Genomic DNA, 14045 nt, shown 5'->3' with positions numbered 1-14045 from the left:
CACAATGACTCTGTACTTGCCTCCATCATGTCGGCATGCATGCGAGCCAGCCGTTGCAACCGTACTTTCTTTCTTGTCCTTGTGTTATAGATGGTGTCACCCTTCTTTAGCTCTCCCTGATAACTGCGAACATAAGTTAATTGTCCAAATCGACCTACCTAGAAGTCAAGATTGGGTAAGGGCAGGAAGAATAAAAAGAAACATAATAATCAAAGTATTGAGGAAAGCTTCATAACTCCCTCCAAGTATTCTCTACCAATTTTAGTAATCTATCTTACATATTTCAGTTTATTGTCATAAACTAATACTAGCTTTGAACACAGATAAGATAAATGGCTGTTATTCATCAATCCTTTTGGTATCACAATCTAAGACATTTCTGTTTCCTTTGAAATAAGCTATTACATTAGAACAAAATTTTTAAGTTGTTTACATAATAAGGAAGTATCTTTTGCCTTCTAACATTTCATAAGTTTAATACAATAAGATATAAAACAAAAAAAAGGTATACTTGGAAAAACAACAAAGATACTATTAGAAACAGTAGGTGTGTGCTATACATCTAAAACACAATCTCTGACAATCACGTGGAAAATTATGTGAGTAAGAGTTCTGTGGCTGGGCTGGTCGCTCAGGCCTGTAATCCCAGCACTCTGGGAGGCAGAGGCGAGCGGATCACCTGAGGTCAGGAGTTCAAGACCAGCCTGGCCAACATGGCAAAACCCCACCTCTACTAAAAATACAAAAATCAGCCAGACGTGGTGGCACACCTATAATCCCAGCTACTCGGGAAGCTGAGGCAGGAAAATTGCTTAAACCCAGGAGGCGGAGGTTGCAGTGAGCCGAGATCGCACCACTGCACTCCAACCTGGGCAACAGAATAGGTGAGACTCTGTCTCAAAAAAAAAAAAAAAAAAAAAAAGAGTTCTGTGAAGTGATTGAATATACTAGCAGTGACCAATTAACATATATTTAACAGTTCCCAGTTCTTACCATGTTAATTATAGGCTTAACAAAATAGCAATCGAAATCCCAACAGGAAATTTTAAACATGATTAGTGATTTTAAAATTCATTCAGAGGAATAAATAGGTAAAAACAGAAATTTTTCAAAAACTATGGTAATAAGATAAAACTAACCCTGACAGATATAAAAACATATTAAAATGCTTGAAACTCAGAAAATTCAGAACCAGCACAAATTAGACTAAACACCCCACAGAGTACAGTATAAAAATCTAAAGTATAAAATATATTTGTCAATAGATGATAAAGAAACATGACAAATCAATGGAAAAGGAAGAAAGGATTGTGCATAAAGTACTAACTGGACAACTGATACTCTATTTGGAGGCAGAGGAGATACATTTAGATCCTACCCACTAAAACAAATTCCAGTTGAATTAATGATGGGGAAAGAAAAAAAACATAAAGAAGTAGAAGGAACGAAAGTAAATATTAACAAAATATATACAAATAAAAGGTTGCTAAGGTTAAAAATTAATGAATGACTAAACAGAAAGACTGACATATTCGACTATACAAACTTTAAAGCACTGATTGCTTTTAAAAATCAAAATTTATTTCATCAAGATAAAAGATTACAATAGAATTCTTCATTTGTTAAATCAGTAATGATTTTTAAACAATACTCAATGATGATATTCATTGAAATAATCCAATACATTAATTTGGAGAGTATGAACGCAATCTGGCAATATAAACCATTAACTATGAAAACATTCTATGCCTTTAACTCAATAATCACTATTCTGGGAATCCTAAGAAAATATTCTTATATATGTATTTTTAAAAGCTTTATGTGTAAATACTTTTACTGTAATGTTATTTCCACTTTTTAATTAAAAAAATTTTCCCCTCATTTTGGAGGTAATAAATATACTGTAAAATATTTTTAAAGTAAGAAAAAGCCCCCAAAATATAATCCCATCCCAGAAATAACCACTCTTAACACTTCCAACTTATCTACCATTTTTCCCCACTTAAAATATTATGTACAGAAGCAACAGCATTTCAACAAAAAGCCCATCCAGTCCCCAAATCTTGGTTTCTAATACCATTTTACTTAAAAAGGAACCAGTGCTCCTTGGAGAACGGCTGATTCTAGGGTTAGGGCATGGAATATACAAGATAAGCCTGAGGCGTCTTGTAGTGCCAGCAAGTAAGGAAGTATTCAAAAAGGCAAAACATTGGAAGATGTTAAAGGAACACAGGAGCCAACTGAGAGTTCCCAATCGCCAAACCCAGCCAATCTGAACAACAAATGACATACTCAAAGTCATAGTTATAACTCAAAGTTCAAAATACATATACGTGAGTCCACGCTGATATTAAATAAGTGATTGTCCAAATAGATAAATAAGCAGGGAAGAAAGACAAATCTCCCTTTCAGAAGAATTCCAAATAACTTATGTAGATAGTGCCCCCTTCAAGGGGGTGGAACATAATTCCCCCCTCAAGTGTTGGCTGAGCCAAGTGACTTCCTTCTAAAAAGTACACTATGAAAAGGGGAATAAAAAGAGTACAGTAACTTTACAGCAGAGAAACCTGTCAAACACTATCTCAGCCAGGTGTGGTGATTGAGGTTAGCATTAACAATGATAAATCAGCCGGGTGCGGTGGCTCATGCCTGTAATCCCAGCACTTTGGGAGGCCAAGACACTCGGATCACCTGAGGTCAGGAGTTCGAGACCGGCCTGACCAACAGGGAGAAACTATGTCTCTACTAAAAATACAAAATTAGCTGGGCGTGGTGGCGCATGCCTGTAATCCCAGCTACTTGGGAGGCTGAGGCAGGAGACTCGCTTGAACCTGGGAGGTGGAGGCTGCAGCGAGCCGAGATTGTGCCATTGCACTCCAGCCTGGGCAACAAGAGCGAAATCTCATCTCAAAAAAATAAAAATAAAAACAAAAAAAAACAAAAACAATGATAAATCATGCTGCAAGTCTGTACCTTGGATATGATGTGACAAGAATAACACTTCACCTCGATGGCAGTCCTCCTAAAAACACATGACTCCAATCTAATCATGTGAAAAGCATCAAATAATAAACCCAAATTGAGGGACACTCTACAAAAGAGCTGACCAATACTTCTCAAAAATATCAATCTCGTGAGAAACAAGGAAAGTCTAAGAAACTATTACAGCCTAGGAGATCATAAGGAGACATGACAATCAAATATAACGTGGTCCTCTGGATGGGCCTTCTGTGGTCCTTCTGTCTAGTGAGACGGAAAAAGGACCTAGACAAAAACTAAAGAAATTCAAATGAAGTAAGGATTTTAGTTAATAATAATATATCAGTATTGGCCCATTAGTTGTGACAGTGTGTATTAACAATAGAGGAAACTGGGTGCAGGATATACAGGAATTCTCTGGACTATCTTCATAACTTTTCTTTAAAATATTCTAAAATAAGTAAGTTTGTTTCTTTTTAAATCATAAACATCTTTTCATGTCAAAAATAGGCATTTCAACATAATTTTTAAAGTCTGAATAATGTTGTACTATAAGAATGTACCTCAGTTTATTTATCAAATTGTAATTACTGGGCATTTTCTTTTTTTTTTTTTCCGAGATGAAGTCTTGCTCTGTCGCCCAGGCTGGAGTGCAGTGGTGCGATCTCGGCTCACTGCAACCTCCACCTCCCAGGTTCAAGCAATTCTCCTGCCTCAGCGTCCTGAGTAGCTGGGATTACAGGTGTCCGCCACCATACTCAGCTAATTTTTGTACTTTTAGTATAGACAGGGTTTCACCATGTTGGCTAGGCTGGTCTCGAACTCCTGACCTTGTGATCCGCCCGCCTTGGCCTCCCACTCCTGACCTTCTGATCTGCCCGCCTCAGCCTCCCAAAGTGCTGGGATTACAGGTGTGAACCACTGCGACTGGCTGGGCATTTTCAATTGTTTGCGAGATTTTGGTTTTATAAGGTGAGCTGAAGCTAACATTAATTCGCTACCCTTCATTAGTTCCTTAGGACATATTTCTAGAAATGGACCCAATGTTATTTATAACAGTAGAAACCTGGAAACAATATAAACATCTAACAATTAGGAAATTTTAAGCAAATTTTGGTGTATCTACTTGATGCACTGTTATGCTACTATTTAAAATGCTTAAACTATTTATAGAAACATGGACCATTATCTACTGTGACATTAAATAAAAAGAGCAGGACAAAACTATACAGGTAGTATGATTTAGGTAAAAATTTACACTCTTCAGGCAAAGAGAAGAGACTAGAAAGAAATGCACCTAATAACAAAAGAACTATCATGTCAGAGCTTTGGAAATTCTCTACCTGCTCTTTCTACTTTCCTATTTTCCAAATCTTTCATAAAAGTCAGAGTCATTCTGTAATAGGAATAAAGCCTAGAAGTAAAAACATTCTACAGATAGCAGTTAAATACATTAGAAAGCAACTTACCTCCAGTTTAAAAGCCAGGCCTACAAATGGGTGGGAATTGTCTCTACTGGAGTTCATTAGGATTTTGGTTTTCTCTTTTGAGTCACTTAAAATAAAAGAAATATAAATCTATGAGATGTAATATATGATATTTCTTTTATATCAATTTATTTCATCAGGAAGTATTATCTGAGAAAAAGCACGTGTGTGGGATATTACTGCTGTCACACATAAGTAAAATTTCACTGAAAGAGATCAATAGAAATAAGTTCTCAGCTGGGCATAGTGGCTCATGCCTATAATGCCCACACTTTGGGAAACAGAAGTGAGAGGATCACTTGAGCTCAGGAGTTCGAGGCTGTGGTGAGCTATTACTGCACCACTGCACTCCAGCCTAGAAACCGAGCAAGACTTTGTCTCAACAAAAAAAAAAAAAAAAAAAAAAAAGGTCTTTAGAGCTTAGCTTAGTTACTACATAGTGATAGGACAAAAGTACACTAAAAAACACAGAAATGGTCTCATAGGGAAAGAAAAGAAAACATAACCAATGAGTTTCTTTTGCAGTTTGTTTCTTTTTTTTTTGGAATCTTATTCTGTCACCCAGGCAGGCTGGAGTGCAGTGGTGCAATCTCAGCTCACTGCAGCCTCTGCCCCGCCAGGTTCCAGTGATTCTCCTGCCTCAGCCTCCTGGGTAGCTGGGATTATAGGTGCACACCACCACACCCGGCTAATTTCCGTATTTTTAGTAGAGACGGGGTTTCTCCATGTTGGTCAGGCTGGTCTCAAACTCCCAACCTCAGGTGATCCGCCCGCCTTGGCCTCCCAAAGTGCTGGAATTACAAGCGTGAGCCACTGCGCCTGGCAGAAGTTTGTTTCTTAAAACTTTTTTTTTTTTAACAGTATGTCTGAAAACAGCTAGTCCCAAATGAGAAAATTTTCTAATGATGTAAACCTTGAGAGAGAGTAAAACAAATCATACTTCCAACTCAAAACAGAATATGATATAGGAACTAGTATAATAAATATTTTTCTATACGTCAAAATTGTTACCCAAATAAAAACCATGATTGTAAATTATGAAAAAAAATCACAGACATAATTAAAAGAACTATCCTTAAATTCCTTCACAGTGCATAAATACGAAAGTATTTCTGCATAAACTAAGATTCAATTTTCAAGACTTACTCCTCTTTATTGAGAATAGCATAGTTCTGGACTTCAGATGGATTTGGGAGGTATTCTAAAACAGCATCTAAAAGAGGCTGAACTCCTTTGTTCTTCAAGGCGCTTCCCAAAAATACAGGAGTAAATGATCTTTTCAGAGTAGCTCTTCGAATTGCTAGCTACAAAAGAAAACAATTTAATGGTAGTTAATGTTAAAATTACATGTTGTGCTTCAAGTCAACTACAAACAAATGAATAAAATGAACTGATACTCTACTCTTTGGAGTGCTGACTCTAATAGAGACTAAAATCAGGTCTCCAATGAACTTAAGGTCAAAATACAAAGAAAAAAATCACTTTCTTCTTCAGGGCTGGGAAGTGATTTACTATACAACTGCTTTCGACACTCTTGGAATCACTAATTCTCACTAATTTTCAATTTGCTAAAAAAAAATACATATACACATAGAAAATAGACACACTAATAGAACACTGCAAACAGTACGCTACAATTGTACAAAATAGAGGAAAAAGTAATATATACGCAAAACCAAAAGCCTATGGAATGGTACACCAGAAGCTATTAACTGGTAACCTGTTTCAGGGACAGGGAAGAGAACTGGGCAGATGGAAGAAAAAAATAAAAGGGTGTTTACTGTTTACCTTTGTATACCTTTTAAATATTTAAACCATATGAACGTATGCTCTATTACGAAACATTTAACTTATCTTTTTCTTTTTGTAAAGAACATACACACAGGAAGCCAAACAGTACAAATCTCTCATAAATTACAGGTCATGACAGTAGCAGCTCCAGGTCCTGCCCCAGCCCTTAGTGCAAACACCATCAATGTGTCCTGCTGGCTGAGCAGGCCTTAGAGAATACGTAGTGGAGCTTTAGCTCTAGCAGCTGGAAGAGGCCAACAATAGTGCTGTGGCCACAACCAACAAATGAATAAAATGAACTGACACTCTTTGGAGTGCTGGCTCTAATAGAGACTAAAATCAGGTCCCCAATAATTTAAGGGTCCTCAATAACTTTTCTCATTTGAAGTTATTACATAACTCACTTAAAAAAAAGTATACCATGTCAAGTATTTTTTGAGGAAGCCAATTATGTTAAATAAATGTATTGAGATTTCATTAATAAAGCCCATACATAAAAGCATCATGTCCCCTCCCTACAAAAAACAAACGACTTCTTTTTGTTGTTAACATAAGACTTATTTTGAAAGCACTTGCCTTTAAATCAGAAATCGAGGGGATTTTTTCTTCCAGAAACATCTCACCAAGCTGTTCATCTGAATTGGCAACACATTCAATTAGCTCCTGCCGGTGGTCAGTGGCCGCCGCCCTTAATTCAGCTGGAATCTCACCATATCGAACAATCTGACTAAGAAAGCAAATATTTTGGTGCTTTAAGGATATTCAACTTAATATATGAAGGACTAATGAAAAATATATGATTAATGGTTAAAATATTTTTTTAGGTAACAAAGAGCTCTGATACATTTGCATTCAAATGGCAAATAAGACTAATGTATACCTTTAAAATGTACACAGAATAGTAGATAAATATACTGAAATAGGCAAGTTTAAGGTCAAGGTTGTACTACCAGTAACCGGAAGAGCTAAAACAGTCCACTATAATGAGAAAAAAAAAATCTCTGGTTTTATAATAGACATCACATTCTACTTTTCTGCATATCAAGTTTTACAGAAGAAAATGATAAAATATATAACACAAAATCTTCCCAATTTAATGCAACCTGGTTTATCCTTACTCAATATACAGTAAAATACAAGTTCAAAACAATGACTTGACAAAGTATCACCTAAATCAAAGTTTAAACTCTTCAGTGTAGTTTTTACTGTACTCTAATTATTTTAAAACTGGCAGGCATGCAAAGTAATAACAGCATCCATTTACTGAATACTTATAATGCAGTAAGCGCTAAACTAAATATGTGACAAGTTATTTATTTGATCTTCACATATGAAGTAGCTTCTATTATCTGCATTTTCAGATCAGGAAACTAACTTACACAGGCAAAGTAATTTGCCCAAGGCTGTCCTACTAGTAAACAGAAGAGGTAAGATTCAAAGCCAACCTGCCTAGGGCCCATCTGAGTTCTTTGAAATTGTATTAATCATATTCTTATTAATCACAACATAACAATCTCTAGTAAGCAGTACTAGGAAGACCTTACTCTATTCCTTTCCATTAATAACAGACCTGATCATATACTTTTTAACAAAGAATATCCCAATTTGTAGTTTAAAAAAACGGTGACTAAATATGACAGACTCTTCAATCTGTGACATCAGTTCTCCATTACACCAGAGGTTGAACAGGTAAAATTACAAATAAAATGTTCAAAGCCAAAATGGATATACTTGACATGATATTTAAAAGCAGTCTGAAAATTTTTCAAGGTATTTCTTTTTTTTTTTTTTTTTTTTTTTTTGAGACGGAGTCTCGCTCTGTCACCCAGGCTGGAGTGCAGTGGTGCCATCTCGGCTCACTGCAAGCTCTGCCTCCCAGGTTCAAGAGATTCTCCTGCCTCAGCCTCCCGAGTAGCTGGAACTACAGGCACCCGCCACCACGCCCGGCTAATTTTTTGTATTTTTAATGGAGACGGGTTTCACCGTGTTAGCCAGGATGGTCTCTATCTCCTGACCTCGTGATCTGCCCACCTCGGCCTTCCAAAGTGCTGGGATTACAGGCGTGAGCCACTGCGCCTGGCCTCAAGTTATTTCTTTAAAAATGGAAATTAATATCAAAAAGTAAGCTTTTCAGAAAACACATTCCTAACTTTAATAAAGACAAAAGAAGCCATTTCCAACAAAAAGTAACACTTAATATTCTAAGACTCCCCACAACTTTCAGATTTTAATTTCAACCTTCCTGGCAAGCTCCCTGCTTCTTAGCCTTTCACATGTCAGAATCATCTGTGGATTCCTTTCCAAATACACATACAGTAAACTAGGGCTGGGGAAGGGGACATGTACATTAAGATGCTGCATCTGTGGTTCTGATGTACAACAAAGTTTAAGAGTCTCTACTTCTGACAACAGAAATATGTGCCTTGGTAATTCTGGGAAAGTGGATTTATTCATTCATTTACAAATATTTTTGAGTCCCTATTATGTACTAGGCAGTTACAACTGCCTAGTTGTAACTAGTTGTTCTAGGGGCTGGGACATAGCAGTGAATAAAGTAGGAAAAAAGAAAAACAAAAACTCTGCCTTACTGGGCCTTATATCCTAAGGAGTGGTAGGTAAACTTTGTTGTCATTACTCAGTTGTTACATAAAAAGTGAGAGAAACACCTTATCCACTGGACAGACTCCATCCTTTTCCTGCTTACAAGATGGCTGATGAAGATAAATTCTATAGTTCACTGATCACAATGCCATTCGCCCACCTGCCAGACCTGCGATCCCAATTCCATAGCAGAGGAAGGAAATCCCTCAGGAAGTGCCTGTGGAGAAACGACCAGGCTACAGAGGTCACTCCTCAGAACAAAGGATCATTTATGACTCCTCACATTGTCTAGATCAGTGTCACTCAAAGTGTGGTCTGCAGACCTGTAAGAGCAGCATCAACTGGAAACCTTCCAGAAATGCAAACTACGGGCCCCACCCCAATCTACTGATCAGAATCTCTGGAGGTAGAGCCAGGACTATGTCTTTTAACAAAGTCTCCAGGGGATTGTTATGAACAACGCTAAGGTTTGATAACTACCAGGCAATTACAGTACTTTGTAGGTAAAGGTCACTCAAGAGCTGATGGACCAAATACCACATCAAAAAGTTACCAACTTATTTCTTGCATTTCCCAAACCACATTTGTACAATTTTAACTGTTTTAATTTATTAATCTTTTCTGTCCATGTAATTATAAAGCAGGAAGAGCAAATATTTATGATCTCTATTTTCTTCCTAATTTTTATCACAATACCCCAGACCTGGCAGCTGCTCTATAAAAGTCCACAGAATGAATGAATAAATGAACAAGTGCAAAAAGATACAATACATTCACTAACCCAAATTTACTAACCCAAACTGAAGGCCTCCTTCTACCACACCATGCATGCCATAATGTGATATGGGTATATTACCCAAAAAGTAACATAGTCTCTCACAGAATAAATACTAAATAAAATGGGGAGCGACTAGGATTAAAGGTATTAAAACAAAACCATCTCAGAGTATTCTTGCAGTCGCATTTCAAAAAGATAGTTACTCTGCGTTTGATGAACTTATCCTTTCCTTCTTTTTAATGCTTTTTAAAATTTAAAATTTTAATAATGTATTTTTAGCACTTACCCAAAGTCTCCATCAAAATAGATGGCTCGTTCCTCAATAAGATCTACAATACCTTTAAAATTACCCTCCAAACCCATGGGTATCTGCATAAACGCTGCATTATGATTTAGTTTAGACCTGAAAAATAAAAATACACTTGTTTACCTTTTTTCTTCTCCCCTAATCCCTTTGAAATGACAAAATGAATATTTTAAAAAATCAGTGGCAGACACTGGAGAACTGAGAAGGGTGTTACCATCAGGTCAGAACAGAAAATATAAAGCAGCTGGGAACAGACTGACAACGTAACTCAAGGAGCTCAGGAAGCCACAAACCCATTTAGGCAACAAAAAGAACTCCAGAATAACTGTTTTACCATCAGATCCCCAGATACACTGGATCAAAAGCAGAAGGGGGAAGAACAGATAATGGAGGGCTAGCCAGGAAATTAAATAGTAGGATAGCTGAGCCCACCTCTTTTTTTTTTTTTTTTTTTTTTTGAGACAAGAGTCTCGCCCTGTTGCCAAGGCTGAAGTGTGATGGTGTGATTTCCGCTCACTGCAACCTCCGCCTCCCGGCTTCAAGCAATTCTCCTGCCTCAGCCTCCCGAGTAGCTGGGACTACAGGTGCCCGCCACCACGCCTGGCTAATTTTTTGTATTTTTAGTAGAGATGGGGTTTCACTATGTTGACCAGGCTGGTCTTGAACTCCTGACCTGGTGATCCACCCGCCTCGGCCTCCCAAAGTGCTGGGATTACAGGTGTGAGCCACCGCGCCCGGCCCAGGCTCAAAACTGAATAGAAACTGCATTCACTGGCAAGAATCCTCACTGGAAAAGAATATGCTCTAGCTACCACTGTTTAGTCTAGACTCTAGACTCCCATCTATAACTATGGTTAAAGATCTAAGAATCACCAAATATTTGAAGGAAACCAAAAGCTTGAAAGAGAAATGTGAACTTAATAGCACTTACCTCCAAGAAGAGAGTTACTAGAGGAAAGAAAATAAAATGTAAAGATTTGAGAAACAATTACCTCTACTGATAAAAATGTTGCAAGGAAAGAGAAAGTTTATGAAAATTAAGTACACAATTGCTGAAAAAAAAAGTTTTCAGGCAAGCTAAGTAACTGAAGAGACACAAATGAATATCAAATTAGTGAGCTGGAAGATCAACCCCAAGATTTCTCTCATAAGCCCAATCCAAAATGAGAAGGAGACAGAAAGAATAAGTACCATAGAAAAGACAAGGCATGAAGGTCAGATCTAGAAGTTCCAGATTTTTATCTGCTTTATAGAAGTTACAAAATGGAAAACAAATAAATGGGAGTGGAGAAAAGAATGAACCAAAGTAATCAAATAAATGCTAAAACAGTGTTTCCTTGGAATTCAGAAGAAGATTTGGGGAAAAAAGACCATCTATTGCCAAGCATAAGTAAAATAAGGATAAAAACTAAAAACAATTTACCAAAAAAAAGTTATAAACACCCAACTAAGAAAATGTTCACTTTCATATCAAATATATCACTTCCATCAGATTTTTTGTCATCAGATACACCATTCTCAGCCTGTCCACTACCATAAACTTTACACCTACATATCCATCAACTATGCCATGTGAAACGTAAGTATGAGCTCTACAGCTACACGTGCACATCTACAAAAGGTGAAAAGTGAAATTCTGACTCTTTTTAAAGGCTTTGTGAAATATATAATATTGTGTAAAATTTAAAATGCTATAAATACTACTGGTTCTATCTGGTACAGAAAGGAAGTGTTACTGTTGTCCTAGAAAATATGTTTCCGTCTGAAAACAAGAAAATCTCATCTCTATGGCAAACTACTTAAGGGCATTAATTAAAATGCTTCAAGGAAAAATTAAAACCAAAGATGATCTTTTGTCTAAATAAAACACAAGGTATTTTTAGAATCTAGATTATAACTTCTCTCATAATAGCAAAACAGTATAAACGGTCAGACTGTTTTCTGAATTCATCTTCAACCTCCCTAGAATTTAAGTAATATTGTCCCCATTTTAGAGATAAGGTAGTTGATGAGATCATACCACAAGCCAATTTACTAAAATCAGTGTTCCACTTACTAACTCACATAAATATATTTAAAAAACTAAATTTAAGAATAAAGTTTAATGACAGTGAATTAATCACCCTTTTGGATATAAGGTTTGCTGTCTAGATCATCACATCCTCTTTGTTTATTCTAAGGCTCATTACCTCATTTGCTGCAGGGCCCTGGCTGGGTTGGAGCCCATTCGGTCCAATTTGTTAATAAAAGTTAGAAACGGAACGTTGTAGCGCTTCATCTGACGATTGACAGTCATGGTCTGGCACTGTACCCCTCCAACAGCACAGAGAACAAGGACTGCACCATCCAACACTCTCAGGGCCCTTTCCACTTCTATTGTGAAGTCCACATGCCCTGAATAAGATGAAGTATGAGAGGGTCTTAAAGAGCAATCTGAATTTTTAATATATGCACTATTAGAAGTTTTTGTATCTCTGCTCATCACATAAGTCTTCTAATAAGAATGTAGATTCCTGAGCTCACCAATACTATTCACCAACCCTTAGGTGCAGGGCCTGGCAAGATCACTTCAAGAAAATACTAGGGCACAGGCACCTTTAGAATCAGCTAGAATATGTAAAAGGCAAGAATCTGCCTACTCACAATTTACTTGCACAAATTTTCAAGAAAACTACATAAGGATGAAGTGCTCTAGGTCCTAAGTTAGTCTTCTTTAATAGGAATTCAGTGTTACACTTTTGAGTATTTGACAATCAAAAACTAATTGGGTCACAGTAAGAGAAAGAACCAAATGTGCTTTTGCCAAAGAAGCTGCAATAAAACCAAGAATCCAACTCACCAGGAGTATCTATAATGTTAATATTGACATCTTTCCACATGGTGTAAGTGGCTGCTGACTGAATAGTGATTCCTCTTTGTCTCTCTAGTTCCATGGAATCCATGACAGCACCAACTCCATCTTTACCTTTCACCTAAACACAAGCACAGCAATTCAGACTTTCTCTGTCCCTGCATTCCAAGAAGGAAAGAAATCTTAACTGAAATGGAAACAGTTGCCAGGTGCAGTGGCTCATGCCTATAATCCCAGCACTGTGGGAGACTGAGGCAGGATGATAATTTGAGCCCAAGAGTTTGAGACCAGCCTGAGCAACAAAGTGAGACCTCTTCTATAAAAAATAAAAATAAAACCAGAACACAGATACTTAACTTAAGCAACTTTCAGATAAGCCTAACTGTCAAAAGTCCGCTGTTACCATTGTTTTAATCTTTCAGGTTTATAAGCTTTATTAAATAATAGCAACAAAACAATTAAAATCTGGTTCTAATTAATCCGGAATCAACCGTGAATATATACCTCATGCATCTTTGCAATTCTGCCAGTGTAGTAAAGGACTCGTTCTGTTAATGTAGTTTTCCCAGAATCAATGTGAGCTGAGATTCCAATATTTCGTATTTTTTCATTAGGAATCACCCCTGATGAAGACCATCGGCAGGCCTTCCAATTAACCTGAAAAAAATACGAGAGCTCAATTCTATGCACCTTTTATAAGAGAGAACAACAGACAATTAAAAGGAGTATGGTGGACATTATTCCTCCAAGAAATCTCACTGGATATGAGATAGCTTGAGAAAGGCACCAGGGGAAACCTTTAAGCCTGGAACTCTTGTAATCAGAGGACAGACTTCAAAACAAGACAGTAAAGACGTATTCTTTTAAAATTAATTAATGAATAAGTTAAATTTAATTAAAATGGGAGACACTTTTTACTGCAGATTTGAAAATACACACTGGGGCAGATAAAATCACAAAGACAGCTCCAAAAAATACTTTAATAGAAAATACAAATTTTAGCTTAAATTTAACTTAATTTTTTTCCCTTTCTCCTTTATTGTAGTTCACAGATGACAAATATGTTTGAGAACTTATATGCTCTATGCAGTGATGCTAGTAGCTCCAAGACAGCCCCCAAAGATTTCCAATTCCCTCCAAACAAAAACAATTCATGAAGCTTGTTTTAACTTTACTCTGGTGGCAGGGGATGGGGATCCCTATTAGATGGAATGAAGATACAATATAAACCTTTCCCTATAGGACTGCACA

The 14045-nt window shown here is 36.9% G+C and overlaps 1 protein-coding gene across 14 annotated transcripts in view; it reads right to left on the bottom strand.

Annotated features, from left to right (window-relative positions):
- GFM1 (G elongation factor mitochondrial 1) overlaps nt 1–14045 on the bottom strand; it is a 51055-nt gene that overhangs the window by 36502 nt on the left and 508 nt on the right. For 4 of the 14 annotated variants that reach the window (NR_164500.1, NM_024996.7, NM_001374357.1 and 1 more), the window contains exons 2-9: nt 13299–13451; nt 12783–12915; nt 12133–12337; nt 9923–10039; nt 6834–6984; nt 5613–5770; nt 4449–4533; nt 21–158 (exon numbers count right to left, since the gene is read on the bottom strand). Coding sequence is in view for 10 of the 14 variants with exons in the window: in NM_024996.7 (NP_079272.4) it covers nt 21–158; nt 4449–4533; nt 5613–5770; nt 6834–6984; nt 9923–10039; nt 12133–12337; nt 12783–12915; nt 13299–13451 (1140 nt within the window). In the remaining 4 variants the exon portion in view is untranslated. Of the gene's footprint in view, nt 1–20; nt 159–4448; nt 4534–5612; nt 5771–6833; nt 6985–9018; nt 9076–9922; nt 10040–12132; nt 12338–12782; nt 12916–13298; nt 13452–14045 lie in introns of all 14 variants that reach the window. The other 10 variants (NM_001374359.1, NM_001374360.1, NR_164501.1 and 7 more) reach the window with 8 other exon arrangements.

The sequence above is a fragment of the Homo sapiens genome, chromosome 3 (assembly GCF_000001405.40).
Source record: "Homo sapiens chromosome 3, GRCh38.p14 Primary Assembly".
NCBI classification, from domain to species: domain Eukaryota; kingdom Metazoa; phylum Chordata; class Mammalia; order Primates; family Hominidae; genus Homo; species Homo sapiens.
The sequence above is the reverse complement of the archived record's forward strand: the minus strand, read 5'-3'. Positions and strand labels throughout refer to the sequence as shown.